The 16,867-nt window shown below is 58.2% G+C and overlaps 1 protein-coding gene and 1 long non-coding RNA gene across 4 annotated transcripts in view, besides 3 other annotated features; one reads left to right on the forward strand and one right to left on the reverse strand.

Moving 5' to 3' along the window:
* The window catches only part of LINC01237 (long intergenic non-protein coding RNA 1237), a 197,360-nt gene that overhangs the window by 8,300 nt on the left and 172,193 nt on the right, over positions 1–16,867 (forward strand). The window lies entirely within an intron of this gene.
* Positions 4,326–12,923, reverse strand: FAM240C (family with sequence similarity 240 member C). 3 transcript variants are annotated; one of them, NM_001382369.1, is made up of 3 exons: positions 12,835–12,923; positions 7,524–7,672; positions 4,326–4,677 (listed from the first exon to the last, which is right to left on the reverse strand). In NM_001382369.1, exons 2-3 carry the CDS (start codon positions 7,667–7,669, stop codon positions 4,551–4,553), a joined length of 273 nt encoding a protein of 90 aa, NP_001369298.1. In that variant the 5' UTR covers positions 7,670–7,672; positions 12,835–12,923; the 3' UTR covers positions 4,326–4,550. The 3 variants fall into 3 exon arrangements, with proteins under 3 accessions (NP_001369298.1, NP_001369297.1, NP_001369299.1); NM_001382368.1 differs by lacking the exon at positions 12,835–12,923 and adding an exon at positions 10,696–10,802; NM_001382370.1 differs by lacking the exon at positions 12,835–12,923 and adding an exon at positions 9,453–9,478.
* Positions 10,273–10,917: an enhancer, noted in NCBI's record as "H3K4me1 hESC enhancer chr2:242842086-242842730 (GRCh37/hg19 assembly coordinates)". NCBI's record gives its function as "activates a minimal SCP1, AML or CMV promoter by ChIP-STARR-seq in naive and primed H9 embryonic stem cells {active_cell/tissue: H9 hESC(naive and primed)}" and the evidence as "EXISTENCE:reporter gene assay evidence [ECO:0000049][PMID:30033119]".
* Positions 10,918–11,561: an enhancer, noted in NCBI's record as "H3K4me1 hESC enhancer chr2:242842731-242843374 (GRCh37/hg19 assembly coordinates)". NCBI's record gives its function as "activates a minimal SCP1, AML or CMV promoter by ChIP-STARR-seq in naive H9 embryonic stem cells {active_cell/tissue: H9 hESC(naive)}" and the evidence as "EXISTENCE:reporter gene assay evidence [ECO:0000049][PMID:30033119]".
* Positions 11,562–12,207: an enhancer, noted in NCBI's record as "H3K27ac-H3K4me1 hESC enhancer chr2:242843375-242844020 (GRCh37/hg19 assembly coordinates)". NCBI's record gives its function as "activates a minimal SCP1, AML or CMV promoter by ChIP-STARR-seq in primed H9 embryonic stem cells {active_cell/tissue: H9 hESC(primed)}" and the evidence as "EXISTENCE:reporter gene assay evidence [ECO:0000049][PMID:30033119]".

Here is a 16,867-nt window from a genome sequence, read left to right on the forward strand (position 1 = left end):
AGTATTTCAAGAACAGGCAATTTTAATGTTACATTGTGACAATCAAGACAAACCCTGGTTTCTAATAGAGATATGGCAGATTTCTGGTTGGGGACAGCCAACGTGCACAAGGGTCCCAGAACGTTTCATTGTGCCTGAAAGTGAGGGGGCTCTCCAGGACGAATGGGGCCTGTCGAGAAGACAAGGAGCCAGTTTGAAAGAGGTGGCATTGGTGAAATCTGGGACAACCTGAGCATCCAAAAGAATGAGGCCCATAGTTAACTAGGATACATCTAATCCATTTACATCCATGAATCCACAATGACACTCTAAGAAAAGAGAAAGCCTGAAAAACTCAGGCAGATCTTAAACCAACTCTTTATTTTGAATATTGGCAGCCAGAGGGAAAAATCAAACATTATCTTGTTTTGTGCTAGAAAGAGGATGCCAGTATAACCAAATGGCACTAGGTATGAGGAAAGACCTCCTTTAAAAAGGAATGTTGGGCCGGGCATGGTGTCTCATGCCTATAATCCTAGCACTTTGGATTACAGTGTTAGGGAGGCCGAGGTGGGTGGATCAGCTGAGGTCAGGGGTTCGAGACCAGACTGGCCAACATGGCGAAACCCCATCTCTACTAAAAATACAAACTTTAGATGGGTGTGGTGGCACACGCCTGTAATCCCAGCTACTTGGGAGGCTGAGGCAGGAGAATTGCTTGAACTCAGAAGGCAGAGGTTGCAGTGAGCCGAGATCGCACCATTGCACTCCAGCCTGGGTGACAGAATGAGACTCTGTCTCAAAAAAACAACAACAAAAAGGAATGTCGGCCCATAAATGTGAATGAGTGACTGAGTTAGAAAAATCATCTTTTCCAAACACCACTGAAATCATGGACTAGGACAAGGTTAGCCCATGAGTGTTTAGACCAGTGAGGTGAGCAGCTGCTGGGGACAGGACCCTTGTCTGGTATCGATGGCAGGGAAGGCTGTGAGCCTCCCCTCGTGTGGGCATCAGCCTCAGCCTCCCAGTGGGGGTCACCCAGGGAGCATATCTCCTGGTGAGAAGTACAGGAGCTTCACATTCCCTGGATACGTCCCAGCCGAAATGTTCACCGTGAATCCGGCAACCTGTGGAGCTGATTTCCATTTCTAAGGAATGAGGGGGGATGGGGAAGAACCCCCCAGGACAGCACCAACAGTCCCTGCGGGGACCTTTCCCGGACACCCGGCCTTCTCGGCGGTGAGGCAGGTGGCGGCACCGACAGGCCCGGGGGGGACCTTTCCCGGACACCCAGCCTCCTCGGTGGCGAGGCAGGTGGCGGCACCGACAGGCCCGGCGGGGACCTTTCCCGGACACCTGGCCTCCTTGGCAAGGCAGGTGGCGGCACCAACAGGCCCGGGGGGGACCTTTCCCGGACACCTGGCCTCCTCGGCGAGGCAGGTGGCAGAACTGGTTCCACGTCTGATCTTCCTTAGACAAACCTGCCTTCAGAGGAAATTGTGTTCAACTGGAGAAACTGGAAAATGTACTAGATATTGGCTGATATGAAGGATATATGTTTTGTTAAGTATGATAATTCGATTTTGGCTCTGTAGGGAAAGGCTCTTATTTTAAAAAGATGTGCACTAGAGAAAAAGGAAACAGCATGTAGCAAATACATCCACGGATGTCCTCCTGGTTTAATTGGTTCTGTGGCCTCGGTTTCTGTCTTCCTGATGGCACCTCTGTGACAGGAGCTCAGACCCCGGCATCAGACCGGCCTCCGCAGGGAGGAGCTGCGGTGCCCAGGCCAGGCCAGGAAGCACCATGGCCCACTGCCTGGGCCTCACCTCACGAACGCCAAGCACTGTGGCGGGCACAGGCGGAGCCTGGCGGCTTCACGCCCACACCGGCAGCTCCTCCCTCAGCCCCTCGCCCGCCGCTCCCAAGTCCGGCAGTTCTGGAGCACGGGAAGCTCTCTGGGGGTTGCTGGGCAGCAGGACCTGGTCTGAGATGACTGAGTCTGCCCAGGTCTTCACGCGCCTAACTGAGCGTGAGCGTGTCTGAGTCTTACCGCAGAAACATTAAAATGCTTGGTGACAGGTGTTAGGAGACTTCTGGGATCTGCACTGTACCACTTCTCTAAAACTGGGAATATTCTGAGTCTCAGAGCTTGTCTGGATGAGGAATCCTGGGGCCCGATTCTAGACCTGAGGCACCAGCAGCAAAGGATGTGGCCCAGCCCTGGAGCCCCAAGCAGCTCGGCCGGGAGTGCACCCTCCTACCTTCCCAACCCAGTCGCAGTCAGTTATGAAAAAGGAACAGTGCATGATTCCAAAGTTATATTTAAATGCCAACTGCGTTGAATTTGGCAACATTTGACAGGAGTTATGGAAAGCCTTTCAAAGATTTAGCAGGACAAAAACAAACTAGCAAGCGAGCATTATTGTGTGCTTTAAAAGTAAACAGGCTTGAGCAATGGTGTCTGTTTTAGAAAACTGACGAGCCTCCCAGGTGGATCATGGGAGTGCCTGCAATTACTGGTTATTCAACCAAGGTCCCCTCCGGTCTGTGCCTCATACAAACAATGGGTATTCTGCTGAAATTCACCTCCTGGAGCAAAGATTTCAGAAATGCCCTCTGTACACCAGGTGAATTGCAAAGGGGCCAGGTGTGAGGAGGGACTCCGGGCTCAGAGCCCTGGGGGCTGGCGTCCCTCTCCTCTCCTGGAAAGCCGGCCCAGCCATCCCTCTTCCCCTTGCCCCTCTCCTACCCTCCCTGGTCTCCTTCTCTCCCTGTCTCTCTTCTGCACTGGGCGCCTTCCAGCCTTGGGAGCTGGGCCCAGCTTTGCCTGAGGATTAACGACAAAACAGAGTGAAGATGTGGCTGGCAGACTGCCCGCTGCCCCTGTGGCCGGGACCTCTGCTGTCAATGGGAAGGTGACTGCATCGTTGGAGAGTAATTGGGTCATGAGGCAAGCAGGAGGGGGTGGCTGTTCTGGAAGGTTCTGCAGGGCCAAACTGTGATGAAGATTGCAGCATGAATATGCTCTTCCATCCCCCAAAAGTCCAGTCTGACACCTCAGTTTATTACGGTGTTGACAGTAATAGTGTTCTGAGGATATCATCAGATAAAATCACTCCTCCGCAGCCTGGGGCTTTGCAAAGATTAGCGAGTGGTTTCTGTTCATGAACTATCTTCAGGGCTGTTAATCACCTCCCTCCCTCCCTGCAAATCCCTGAGTCACTAGCGGTGAGGGTGGGGCCCAGTGCTGACCTGTGACCCCAGCCCTGGACATCTCCATGGCCAGTGTTGCGAGGGCCCTGGCTGCGCTTCTGCCCACTGACTGGCAGACCAGGCATCCAGGCACCCGGGCTTTGTGTCAGGTTCCGATCCTTCTTTCTGCACGTGCTGTCTGTGCAGTAGTTCATGGTCAGCCCCAGAAATGCACACTTGAGATGGCGTGGGCCTGCGTGGAGTCTGCACGTGGCACAGCAGGGACCTGGCTACGCGATCCTCTCGTTAGTGCTTTGTTGGGTTACCCATGACCTGCAAAGCTGGGGCTAATTTCTTTGTCTTTGACAAGACCCGCAAAGCTGGGGCTAATTTCTTTGTCTTTGACAACTTGACCAGAGGGTCCAAACAAAACAGAACCGAACCGCATCAACATCTACGACTGGGGAGATGATGTGAGATTCCACAGCAGCCCCAGCCAGCCGAGGCCCCAGTGCTTCTGTGTTCCTGAGGGCTGATCCCTGCGGCTATAAAAGAGCACACGCGAGGTGTGGGGTGCGGGTACAGGTGTCAGAACCGGCCTCGGCTACAGCCGAGAGCACCCTCCTCTGTCCAGGAGACCACCCCAGGTTCTTGACCGTCTGGCCTCTGGGCAGTGTGGCGGCCCCTCTCCCTCCCTCTGACCTGTCCAGCGTAGTTGCAGCTTGCAGTGGGGCTCCCAGGGCTCATGCTGAGCATCAGGAGGTGAATCTCGGCTCCAACAGCCCTCGTGGCCTTGGGAGATGCTGCCCTTTCTAAACCTGAACTTTTTCAAGTGTAAAAATGAGGATATTTAATTTTCTGAGATGTTTCAGGTACTAAATATGAAATAATTAAAGGAATTTTGGAAAAGGACAAAGCTTTATGCAGTATAAGGAATGTCCTGAAGTTGAAACTTATGTACATATTTTGATCAAAGGTGAAATAAAATTGCATTTAAATCTGCAAATTGGAGGTGGTCAGGCAGCTGAAGAGTCCCTGAGATGCAGCAGTTTCTTTACATGGCTTGTCGTAAGTTGGTAACATTGTGGCAAGTGTTTACTATGTAGAAACCTTAAAGACAGGAAGAAAATTTAGCACGAAACATTCAATCCAATTGACTTAGGTTTTATTGGGCACCAGAGATGCGCTAGAGAACCCTGGGACTCTGCTGCAGCGTGGACCCCGAGGTGGGATTATTACGGGGTCAGCGAGGTGCGGGCCATTTCCATGATGAAGATCCTGTGAACTCTGGCGTGGATGCTTGGACCCCACGCGTGGTGTTCCTTCTCCATGACCCTCCGGAAGCTCATGCAGAGTCTGGAGCTCGTGGGCCCTCAGGCCGCCTTCTTGTCCTTGGTGTGGAGGGACTCAGTGGCCTCCGGGACCCTGTCTGGGCATCTCCCTGGGCCCTGCAGCATCTTGTTCCTCCCCTCCAGCTGCTCAGCCCATCCCACGCGGAGCCTGGGGCAGGGCGATAATTTCGGCATTGTGAGTCAAGCTCTCGGAACTTAGTGACGGCCAAGCCCGTGTCTCTCAGCACCTGGGCACCTGTGAGAGCAGGAGTATGACACTCCCTGCCAGGGGTGGGGGTGTCACCGCATCCCTGCCCAGCCAGCAGCTGTGACCTTGCTGGGTCTCCCAGGGCCCTGGGATCTCGTGGCCGGCCTTGGCTCAGGCTGCTGACCAGTGGTTGGTGGGGGGGGGGGGGGGCGTCTCACTCAGGACCCTCCTCACAGGAGAGGAAAAATGCCTTCCCCGGGAAGCAGCCTGGGTCCCCAGTTCTGGAAGCTTCTGAGCCCCGGAGAGACTGTGCCTGAGCTTGAGCTCTTGCAGCCTCTGTCTCTGCTCTGCTCACGGAGAGGCAGGTGCCCTCGCAGGACAGGGCGGCCTCTGTGGCTGCCTAGGGCCCGCCTGCCTCCCTGCACCCTGCCCGGCTGCCTGTGGGTGCCCACTTCCTTCTCGCTTGCCTGCCCGCCTCACCTGCCCGGCCTGGCCACAGTGGACGGTGCTATGTTGTGATCTCAGCACCACGCATGGGCGGACCTGGCGGCAGGAATGGCCTGGTCAGAGTGGTCCAGGCTCCCCGAGACCTGGGCAGATCCCCACCTGCCCGCAGCTGCCGCTTCCTTCAGCCTCAAGTGCTTTTGGCTTTAGAAGTTGGAGAGTGGGGTGGGTGCCCGGCTCCAGCCAAGGGTGAGCTGTGTCCATGAGGACACTTGTCACAGATGCCCAGGACCCAGATGACGATGGTGCTGCTGAGTGGCAGGCAGTGTACCCCGGACGGCTGGGCCCCACGGTGATGGTCCCCGAGCAACAGCTATGTTCACCCTTGCCAGGCCATGGCTGCTGACTGGTGGGGCCCAGGGCAGCTCCATGCATGAGAGGGTCAGCTGGGCAGGATGTCAGCAGCTGCCACGGTCCCACAGACTTGGCGCCTCCGGGCCTGGAGTCCTCGGCCCTCACAGCCGGCCGCCCATCCCAGAGAGGCTGCCAGGACAGCCAGCCCCATGGTGGTGGAAGCAGCGGCCCCTGTCCCTTTACAGGGGACCGTGGGGTCCCGAGCCAGGGGCTGCGAATGGCCGGTCTCCCACATGGGCCAGCTCCTCTCTCACGGCGGCTTCCTGGGGTGGGCCTGGCCCTTGGGCTCACACCAGCACACGGGACCCTCTCAGCTCTCTGGGCTTCATGCGGGGAGGAAAGTTAGGCTACTCTCTAACGGGAACCCTAAGAGTGACCTCCTTAAAAGCAGTGGTTGGCCTCGTGGCCTGGGGAGAACCGGGCTGTGTGGGTGGATGGAGGGGGGTTGTGCAAATGGAGGCTCTGCCAGCCCCTGAGAGAACGCTGGTGCCTGCCTTGGACACCAACCTCCACCTCAGGGGCCAGAGAAGGCAGCGTGGACACACAGTCCCGGGGCCTGAGCCCACTCCTGGGATCTGCACCCAGGCAATGGCCAGAGGACACCAGGGCACATGGCACATGCAGGCACACGCAGAGGCACGCGGAGGCACGTAGGCACACACAGGCACACGTCCAGGAAGCACAGGGCGGGGATGAGGCAGGGCCCGTGGGGCAAGCACTCGGTGGTGGGGGGGGGCCTCTCCTTCACCATCGTCTGCCGAGTGCCTGCGTGGTGCTGGGCTCTGTGCTGGGTCCATGTCCGTAGTTGGGTAGCTGGTGAGTGGGGAGGGGCACCCCCAGGCTCTGTGGGACCGCCTCGGGCTGCTGAAGGGGTACCACGGCTCTCTTGCTCGGGGCCTGAGCACCGAGGGCTGCCTGGAGCCTCTGGAAGCTCCTGCTGTGTGCCGGCCAGTGTCTTGCAGCAAATGAGCTCTGCTCCCCACCCAGCTGTCCCTGAGCAGTGGCTACACCCTGGGTCGGCTCAGGGTCACCCACTCAGCACCCATAGACCCCTGGCCTTGGCCCTAGGAGAGAAAGGCGTGCTGGCTTGGTATCTGCCTTCCTGAGCAAGTCTGCTAGGAGGAGGAAGGGCACAAGTACAGATACGTCACTCAAGGGCAGTGATCTCAGAAAAACAAGCCAGAGAAAGACATTTCCTCCTGGAAAAGTTCCTGTGATCCTGGACGGAGTGTCAGGGAGATGGCGGGGGAAGGGGGTGTGGGTGAAGGGGGTGTGGGTGTTGGGGTGTGGGTGTTGGGGTGTGGGTGTTGGGGTGTGTGTGTTGGGGTGTGGGTGTGGGGGTGTGGGTGTTGGGGTGTGGGTGAAGGGGTGTGGGTGTGGGGGTGTGGGTGTTGGGGTGTGGGTGAAGGGGTGTGGGTGAAGGGGTGTGGGTGTTGGGGTGTGGGTGAAGGGGTGTGGGTGTTGGGGTGTGGGTGTTGGGGGTGTGTGTGTTGGGGTGTGGGTGAAGGGGTGTGGGTGTTGGGGTGTGGGTGTTGGGGTGTGGGTGAAGGGGGTGTGGGTGTTGGGGTGTGGGTGTGTGGGTGTGGGGGTGTGGGTGTTGGGGTGTGGGTGAAGGGGTGTGGGTGTGGGGGTGGGGGTGAATTGTCCGTGGGCATTGGGGTGTGGTGTTGCCTGGATAGTGATGTTTGATCTGAGCTCCTGGTCTCACGGTTAGCAACGTGGTGTCTTGTCATTTCCCACCTACTGTTCCAAGCGTGATCACTAAGGTGAGTGAATGGCTGTCAGTTTCCTCCTGGGTTGACTCCTTTCACAGGCCTGGAGCTGAGGGGTTTCATGGTGGGCTGAGGGCCAGGGCTGTGTCAGGGCACACTGCTGGCGGGGCTGTGCCCCTGGGTGGCGAGCGTGGCTCAGGCATAGGGGTCCCCGATGCACTGCACACCCCGACTCACTTGTTCAGAGCGCTTCTGCGAACCCTGATGTCCTCGTTCTGCAGGTGTCTTGCGTGATGCTCGATTTTTTTCTCCCAAAACATCTTTATCCCGCCTGAATCGTATGCTACTCTTCCAGGATTCTTAAGAGTGAGGCTTTTACTCATGTTCTGGAAAATAAAAAGTGGAGAAGAGCTCAGTCACCTTATGCCATTCCCATTGACGAGTTTGTGCTCCAGCACCCGGATGGCAGAGGAGCTGGCTCAGCCTGCAGCATCGTGGTCCCCGCCTTCCTGGTTCGTGGGGGATGGCGGAGGCTGCCCTCTGAGACTCAGGCCTCAGGTGGCTCCTGACCGGCTCCTAAACGCTCTACCGGCTCCACCTTCTGGAGCAGTCTCCTGGGTTGGCAGAAGTAGAAATGGAGGGCAAATTCCATTTTGGGCTTTTAGTCATTTTAAAATCTAAGCAATGATGCACTTCTAACTCTCTGTGTGTTAGTGTGGGTGATCTGCAGTCCCACCAGCGAGGTGAGCGTTTCTTGGATGGGGCTGTGGCTTCTGTGCCAGGTGAGTCCATCCCTTGTTTTTGAGACAGGGTCTCATTCCCATCACCCAGGCTGCAATGCAGTGGTGCGATCTCCCCTCACTGCAGCCTTGACCGCCTGAACTCAAGTGATTGTCCCACCTCAGCTTCCTGAGTAGCTGGGACTATAGGTGTGCACCACCATGCCCAGCTAATTTTTGTATATCTTGTAGAGATTGGGTCTCACTATGTTGCCCAGGCCGGTCTTGAGCTCCTGGGCTCAAGCAGTCTTCCTGGCTCAGCCTCCCAAAGTGCTGGGACTACAGGTGTGAGCCAGCGTGCCCAGCTCAGTTGGCCTCTCTCGACACCTGGTTATTGGGTACCTTTTGGTTTGAAATATGTAAACCCAGCAGTGGGGTTAAATGTGGCAGGTTACACTGAAAAACTTCAGCTCTGCTATTTGATGTAATATGCTAAAGTGAGGCTGACTGAAATGTTTACTTTCCAATTATTTTGGACTCGTGCATCTACGGGACACCAGCAATCTTAGAATATCAATCTACAGCCATCAAGAATGTCCAAGGCCGGGCGTGGTGGCTCACGCCTGTAATCCCAGCACTTTGGGAGGTCAAGGCTGGCAGATCACTTGAGCTCAGGAGTTAAGAGACCAGCCTGGCCAACATGGTGAAACCCTGTCTCTACTAAAAATACAAAAATTAGCCGGGATTGGTGGTGGGTGCCTGTAATCCTAGCTACTCTGGAGGCTGAGGCAGGAGAATCGCTTGAACCCGGGAGGTGGAGGTTGCAGTGAGATGAGATTGCAGCACTGCACTCCAGCCTGGGTGACAGACTCCGTCTCAAACAAACAAACAAACAAACAAACAAAAAAAGAATGTCCGTGACAAAGGGAAAGTGTCGACAGCAGCAGCCCCTTTTCTGGAGCCCTCCTCCCGATTTCACCCAGCAGTGGGAGCCCGGCTCTGGGTCAGCTCTCCCTGGGACGCGTGGAGCCTGGGTCCCTGGGCTGTGCCTGCCCTGGCCTGGCTCCAGGTCTCCGTAGATGGCCCTGCTCTGTGCTTGAGGATGGGGTTTACACAAGGGAGCCAGGGCCACGTTTCGGGGTGCAAGGCGGTGGGTCTCGGAATGAATGAGGCATCCACTGTTCTGGGGCTGCCTGAGCCCCTAAGCCGCTGTCCGGCCAGCTCCTCGGGGCCTATGGGGTGGGCAGAGCCATTTCTGCAGCCCTGGCTGGCTCCCTTGGGGCACTTTGTTCTTCAGCTTGGCCTTGCTTGGCCTTGGAGGCATTTCTCTTTCCCCGCCCCCCACTCTTCTCTCTTGCTGGGGAAGAACACAGGGTGGCAGGAGCGCGGCCCGAGAGGAAAACCAGGCAGCTGAGACCCGCGGGCTCGTTTCCTGCAAACACATCACCTGCTTCAGGTGGAGAGGGTAAGGGTGCCTTCTGGAGCTCGGCTCAGGTTGCAATGAACAGGTGCTGGGGACTCCTTCGAGGAGCTTGATGTGACCCCTGGCTGGGGGCTTCCAGCTGCAGAGGCGCGGGCGCTGTGGCCTGCGCAGCCTGTTGTGATGTGGGTGCTGGGCGCTTTGCTGGGGAGCTGCCCCTGGAGGGCCACAGAAATCGCCCATCGATGCCACGCCCTTTGTTCCAGAAACTTAGACATGCAAAGTTGATCATGAAGGGACTGAACTCAGCCACGCCTGCCTGTGCTGAGGACGCTGGCGCGAATTCAGTGAGTGAAAACTCATCCAATGAGGAGGGTGGGATGCACGGAACCCACCAGTCAGGGCCGGGCCCAGCTGCTTCCCCGGAACTTCGCACCTCCTCTGGTGTCTGGGCAGACGCCTCCCGGAGTGAAGCTGGGGCTGGTGTCAGATTCAAACCGAGTAACAGCTGGAAAACATCTGACAGCTGAGACCTGGCTGTTCTTGGCAGGGGCTTCAGAGAGCAGCGTGGGCGTTAGAGCTTCTGCTCTTAGGACACTTAGCCCCCAAAGGCAGCCCTTTAAACCCTCATGGGACAAAAACAAACCAGCAGCAAAAGGGAGAACCAGCAAACCAGCAGACAGAAGAAACAGACACGCGGCCGGGCGCGGTGGCTCAGGCCTGGAATCCCAGCACTGTGGGAGGCCGAGGCGGGCGGATCACGAGGTCAGGAGATCCAGACCAGCCTGACTAACACGGTGAAACCCCGTCTTCACTAAAAATACAAAAAATTAGCCGGGCGTCGTGGTGGGCGCCTGTAGTCCCAGCTACTCGGAAGGCTAAGGCAGGAGAATGGCGTGAACCCGGGAGGCGGAGGTTGCAGTGAGCCGCGATCATGCCACTGCACTCCAGCCTGGGCGACAGAGCGAGACTCCATCTCATAAACAACAACAACAGCAACAAAACAAAACAACAATGACAACAACAGACACACAAAGGGGTGCGTGTTGTGAGGCAGGTGATGGAGACACTCTCCCCCCACCAAAGGTGTTGACAGCAGGAATCCCAGTGGGAAAACAAAATTACAAAGTTCAGTTCCCCCAGCGAAATGCGGGTGGGCTCACGTCTTGTGCCAGATATGTCACATACTCTGTTCACCTTTTGGGGGCCCCCAAATGCAGCGCCAATCTCTCAAGCAAGGACAGCGCCTGTCACATCACAGAGAGCTTACTTTTCCAACCATTTCTCAGTGACGGGCAGGTTTTCCTGTCTCTGTTGAGGGTCCTCAGCCTGTCCTCTCCGGGGTGCACGCCTGTATCTCGCCTGCCGCTCTCTGTTACATGGGCTCAGTGACACGCATGCTTGGCGTCGGTTCAGTCCCAGAAAGACGCGCTGCCCTCTGTCTGGGCACCGTCCCTGGCAGAGCTGTCCGTCCGGAGGGCAGCTGTTGGCAGCATGGGAATCTGGAGGACGGCCAGCTGGGCCTCCTCTGCCCTCAGCCCCCATCGGGACTGTTTTTTTCTTCTTTCGACGGCTGCTCCCAGGAAACCTTGTGGGTGGGAGGGAGCATTGTCTGGGGAGGGGCGTCGGGGCACCTAGGAGTCCTGGGTTTTGCCCAGGCCTGCGTCTCAGGAATGGTGGCCTTTGCACTTACTGCAGGCGAAATGTATATCACAAAACGACGATGCAGACACACTCAAGGCAGGTGTGGAAATGCTTAGGGTCTCTCTGCCCCACCCATACATGGGTTTACGTATTTATTGTGAGGAGCTGGCTCTCGCGGTGACAGGCGCTGAGAGGTCTCGGGATCTGCCATCTGGGACCCAGGAAAGCCTGCGGTGTCAGTCAACCCGACTCTGAGGGAGGTTGGTGTAAATTCCAGACCTTGGTCCAGAGACGGTGAGATGAGGCGTCCTGGAGCAAGCAGGAAGGAAGGCAGGCGAGCAGGAGCGATTCCTCCTTCCTCCACCGCGGCACCTTCAGGCCGTCAGAGGATTGGATGACGCCCAGCACACGGGGGTCACCGCGTCCGGAAACACCCTCCCAGCCGCACCCAGAAACACTGTCCCAGCCGCCGCCCTGGTGCCATCAGGTAGATGCACAAAGTGAAGCCCCCAGGCTTTGTCCTGGACGGGGTTCCTCTCCCAGGATCCATCCCTCCAGGCCTCAGGGAGCCGGCAGCAGGGCCGGCCCAGGGCCAGCCTCCGTGATCTCGTTTCAGTCTCCCGGGTCACTTGCTTCTTTATGAGGTTTCCAAGTCATTGATAGTTTCAGGTGAAAGCTTTTGGGAAATTTTCGTTTACTATCATAAAGCAGACGGTACACTTATTTTTTATATTATCCTTCACAGTTGTTTTTTTTTAAACTGGAGTTCTGTGGGTGTCATCAGTGGATTGGGAGCTGTTCGTGATTTCCCGAGTCCTGGCGTGTGCTCAGGACACCTTGATCTGTGGCTCCCTGCGAACTGGGGTTAGGCCTCAGGACGCGCCGGGACATGCCGCAGCGCACAGAATGCACAAGGTGGAAAGACGGTGCTCAGGCAGCGCGGGTGGAAGACGCCGGTGAGAACCAGCAGCTGCTTCAGAAAAACCGCTGCGTGCAGCACCGATGGGAGGAAGCCACCTAAAAACGGAAAGGAATAGCCCCAGGAGAGGCGTCTCCAGCAGGACTGCGTTTTTGTAAAGCCCGTGGTGGTCTCCCCAGGTCCTATGCGCGAGCGCCCCGGGGATTCCCCACCTGCCCTGGAGCCGAGAGGCCAAACCAACCAGCAATCACAACACCGGCCTACACTTCAAAACTTGTCCTTCCAGGCCCCTTCCTTCTGACGTGTGTGCGGAGGGACGGCAGGGCGCCACCGTGCTGGCCGTGCCTGATGGAGCAGCAAGGCGGCAGGGAGCGCATTCTGATCTCCCCGTGTTTCGGAGTTTGTAGGTCAAGTGTGCACTATCTGCAGTCAGCCAGAGCGGAGGAGGAATTTGGGAGAATGCATTTGCCGCAGGCTGAGGCGTTTGCGTTTCTTCCTCTTTCCTGAGCTATCCCAGTGCAGTGGGCTCCAGACAACCCTGTAGCACCACGGAGGTTCTGAGTGGACTTTCCTGCACCCGCCACCCCCACCCCATCAGAGGCGGTCGTCCAGGCTGCCGGGCTCCAGCTACCGGGCTCAGCCGCCTTCCAGCCCAGGAGTCCCGCCTGCCGCCTCCCCTCCGCCGCCGCCTCCCCTCCGCCGCCGCCTCCCCTCCGCCGCCGCCTCCCCTCCGCCGCCGCCTCCCCTCCGCCGCCGCCTCCCCTCCGCCGCCGCCTCCCCTCCGCCTGCCAGCCCGGAACGCCGCCTCCAAGCCTCCTGTGCCAGCCCCGTCCTGCGCCCCTGTACCTGGGCTCTGTGACGGTGAAGCCGGCGTCCTCACAGTCGCAGCAGCAGCACAGGCTGAGCCTTCCCCGTGTGCGGCATCACCCAGCTCTGTCCTTCGTGCCTCCCGGGAGCCCAGGGAGTCGGGGCCACCGGACGCTGGACCTGAGAACCTGGACCCAGGCCCGGTCTGCCCGGGAGTTGGCAAGTGCTGAGCACTGTGTCCCCTTGCACGGCCACTCGGGGCCTCCACGCACCTAAAGGACAGCTCCTGAAGCATCCTGGCCCTGCACTCACGGTGGCACGCGGGCGCCGTCCCCGAGCCCAGGGGCCAGGCCCAGGGCCCTTCCCCGAAATCTGCCATGAAGGTGAACTCGGTTACACTCAGGCCCAGGGCTCCCGAGGCTGGTGGCGGCTGCTCCGCATGAGGCCTGCTGGCTCCCAGGGGCCGCCCTCCCTTGAGAAGGGGGTGCCCACTACGGCTGGGCCATCTGCAAGGGGCCCGGTGATCACATTATGGAGTCATTTTTGAACTGGGTTCTATTAACTACTAATTAGTGAGCCACAGTCATGACATCCTTTGTAAGGAAAAATGTTCCTAACTGAAGCGCTCGCCCATGTCCGCGGTGAGACGCCTGCATGGGGCGGTCTCTGCTTCTCCCCAAGGACCCTCCTCGCCGCCCGCTCGGCTGCACCGGCAGATGGTGGCAGGGGACAAGGACGGCGCGGTGGGCCCCGCGCCCAGCTCACCGCGAGTGCTGCTCCCTTCACAAAACGCTAGAGAGACCAGCACCCTCCTTGCCCCGCCCCTGCTTGGGGCCTCTCTGTGCTTGGAGAGGAGGCCCAGGCTTCCTCCTCTTCCTGGAGCGGGCGTGAGGAGGGGTCTGCAGGCTCTGTCTCCCGGACAGAGCAGCCTGGAAAGTCCCGTGCTCCGGGGACGCCTGTCTTTGACTCTGTTCTCCTGGGCCGCAAGGCTGAGGCCCGAGTGCGGAGGCTGCACCTGCTCAGCTCCACTGTGACCTCTTGGTGCCGGGGACACGCCTGCCCCCGCGCACATTGCCGCCCGGCCCACCTCCTGTCTGAGCCCTCTCAGCAGACAAGGTCCTTGGTGCCTGGAGTCATCAGGACAGATGGTGGAGCCCAAGTCCCTGTGTGGGGAGGGGAGGAGCAAGTCCTAGTGTAGGGAAGGGGTGAGTCCCAGCGTGGTGAGGGGGTGTCTTTCCCGTCCATGGTGCCCCGTCGAAGCTCCACACACTGGACAGGCCACAAGTTCTCATGGGACTCGGGCCCATGCCTGGCCCAGTGTGGACGCCCTACTGAAGCGGCATCCCAGGCCCCAGCAGCTCAGACTCCCCCCAGCTGCCCTCCCCATGCCCAGCTTGATGGGTACACAGTGTTGCCCGCTAGTGTCCACGCCCTCCCGAGGGGTCCCTGGGCTACAGCAATGTTTGGTCTGAGTGAATGAGCCATGGGGGAACAGACGCCCCTGTAGCTGCAGACCCCCTGCCACAAAGCACAAGGTGGCAGGGGGTGTCCCAGAAGGCCCCGCAGAGAAGGCAGCTTCGCACCAACCTCGTGAGGCCTTGGGGGTCAGCAGCTGGGCCAGGAGCTGACCTGGGAGGCAGGGAGGCAGGGATTACCTCTGGAGCCATATCTGGGGCTGGGACTTTGCCTGAGCCAGGTGTTCTAGGAATGCACTTTAGCTGCAGAGTCCTTATCCATCTGGCTCAGCGCTGGGGAGGGCAACAGGGAGTGGTGGGGTCTGTGGCAAAGTGAGGTGCCGCCATGTCCACGGGCGGCTGGTGCTGAGCTCACAGCTGCTCTGGGCAAACTTTTTCCATAGATGCCTCAAATCTGAATTTTTAGGAAGCATATCCAGATTTTAAGGTGTTGACTAACTACTATTTCACCTAAAAAAAAGCCACTGAGCCGGCTCCCCCATGTGGGCCGGACACAGCATTGTACTAGAATCCCAGCAGCGAGGGGGATCCCGCACTTCCTGGGGGCCTGCGGGGGCTGCAGTGGGTGTCTGGGATTCCAGGGTGGGGGCGAAACCCTGCTTTTGAGGAGCCCTCAGATGGGGGCGGGGAGGGAGCCATTCAGGGACGTCCTCCATCGCAGCAGGCAGGAGCTGAGTGGCTGCTGGGAAGGGTGAAGACATTCTCCTCTACACTCAGGAGGCACACGGGGCTCTCAGATTAGACGGCACCGAGTGGGAAGGTGGTGGTTTCATGATCAATTTCCTGACCAGAGCCACCTGCAGAGGAATCTTTTTCCTGAATACCATATTTTCTAAGCTATTAGGAGCACAGCTTGGCAATGACTGAGGGTGTCTGGACGGTGAGGTGTGCGCTGGGAAGCCTTGAGGTGCCGTCTGGTCTGGCGTGCCCCAAGGACACATGTGGGGAGGGTGCCAGGCCCTGAGTCTGTGGGTGTTGTCAGGAGGTGGCCCCTCTTTTCCTGGTTCTTTGCCTGCTGGTGCTGGTCTGTGAATGCCCTCGGGGCCTCCTCCTGGAAGAGCCTCTTCCCTGGGCCCGCTGAGCTGCAGAGGCTGCAGGTGCGTCTCTGCATGTGGCTGCGCTTTGTGGGCTGTGTCCTTTCTCCTGCTGGCTGGGATTGGCTGCTGAGGCGCCAATCCTTCCTCTGCCCAGATGTGGCTTGGTTCCGTTGGAGTCCAGTGTCAGAGGGCTGAGTTGGATGTTTCTAGATCAGCTGTGTCCACAGGGGCACTGGCCTCCTCGTCACAGTCCCTTCCCCGGGCCCGTCACTGGTGCTGGGCACCACACTTAGGCCTGGCCGTCCTCTGCCCAGGAGAAAAGGGGGAGTGGGTGCTGGGAGTGTGCACAGGTGTGTGTGCAGGGCTGTGGGTGTGCGCACACCTGCGTGTTTAATCATAATACAAAGTGGGCCGGGAACCTCACCCTGAAGTGTGAAGGGCAGTGCGTCATTTAGAATCCTTCTCTTTTTCTCCTTCTTGAGCAGCTGAACGTTGAGAGGGGCCCCGTCTGGTGTGGCCGTGTCTGGTCCCCCATGCAGGCCCTGCACCGTGGACTCCCAACCTGCGGGGATCCGTCCCCAAAGACGCCACTAGTTCTGCCAGCCCAGGGTTTCCTGAGTGTTTCCCGAGAGGCCCTGGTTGCACGGAGTAAGTTCTAGTTTAGTCCTGGTTCGTTCTCCCCAAACGTCTCTCAGGAGCTGTGTTTCTTCTTCATGACCTTCCCCTTAGACCTGTGTCAGATCAGGGTTAGAGGTTGGTCTCCTGGCCTGTGTGGCCACCCTGGCGCCCTCGACGCTCTGCCATGGGCTCCCTTTCTTTCATCGGAGGCAGCATCTGGCCATAGTGAAACTGAGTGTGGGGAGGGGGACGCAGAGCTCCCAGGTCCCAGCCCACAGGTGCCTCGGTGGTGAAATCCCCTGACACACTGAGTGGGGCTTCCAGGACGGGGGACGGAAGGAAAAGGATTAAGGGGTTAGGTAAGTGCAAATATGGCTTTGAAGGTTTAAAATCCTTCACTCATGTTGTGAGGGAAGAACAGGTACTAGACTAGAAGCCATGTCTGGTTGCCCTTGAGGGACCCCTCAGCCAATGTGAAGACGTGTCCAGGCAGCCCTGGGAGACATCCCTGTGGGGGGGCCAGTGCAGGAAACGGACCGCCGGGGGAAGCTCCTGTCATCCCAGGGTGGGCCAGGCTGGGACTACAGTCATGTGCACAGCATGGCTGAGATAATGAGCAAGACTCCAAGGTCCACCCAGGGGCCCGATGGCCTTTAGGGAGACCTAGCACTGTTGCAGGATCAGGAGGACCGGAGAGAGACCTTGGAGTGTACACAGGAGGATATCTTTATCATTGAGTGCACTCAGACCCAGCAGACTCAATGTCCAAAGACTGGGCCCAGAACAAAGACAGCGCCTGACTTTTACACACACTTCACAAAAGGGGGTGGGCTAGCTTGAAGCAAGCTTACAGTGGCGTGAAAGCAGGGATACAGAGGCAGGACAAACTCAGGATTGCACATGACTGTTGCCAAGCAACCCACATGTCCGTTATCTAGGTTA

This window comes from Homo sapiens, chromosome 2, assembly GCF_000001405.40.
Source record: "Homo sapiens chromosome 2, GRCh38.p14 Primary Assembly".
Classification (NCBI taxonomy): domain Eukaryota; kingdom Metazoa; phylum Chordata; class Mammalia; order Primates; family Hominidae; genus Homo; species Homo sapiens.

Excerpts from the sequence above, each read along its gene's own strand:
- FAM240C (NM_001382368.1), bottom strand. Across the intron at positions 4,678-7,523 it reads CGCAGAAGCGCTCTGAACAA|GCTCCGCGTGGGATGGGCTG; the intron begins GTGAGTCGGGGT and ends GCCCTGCCCCAG.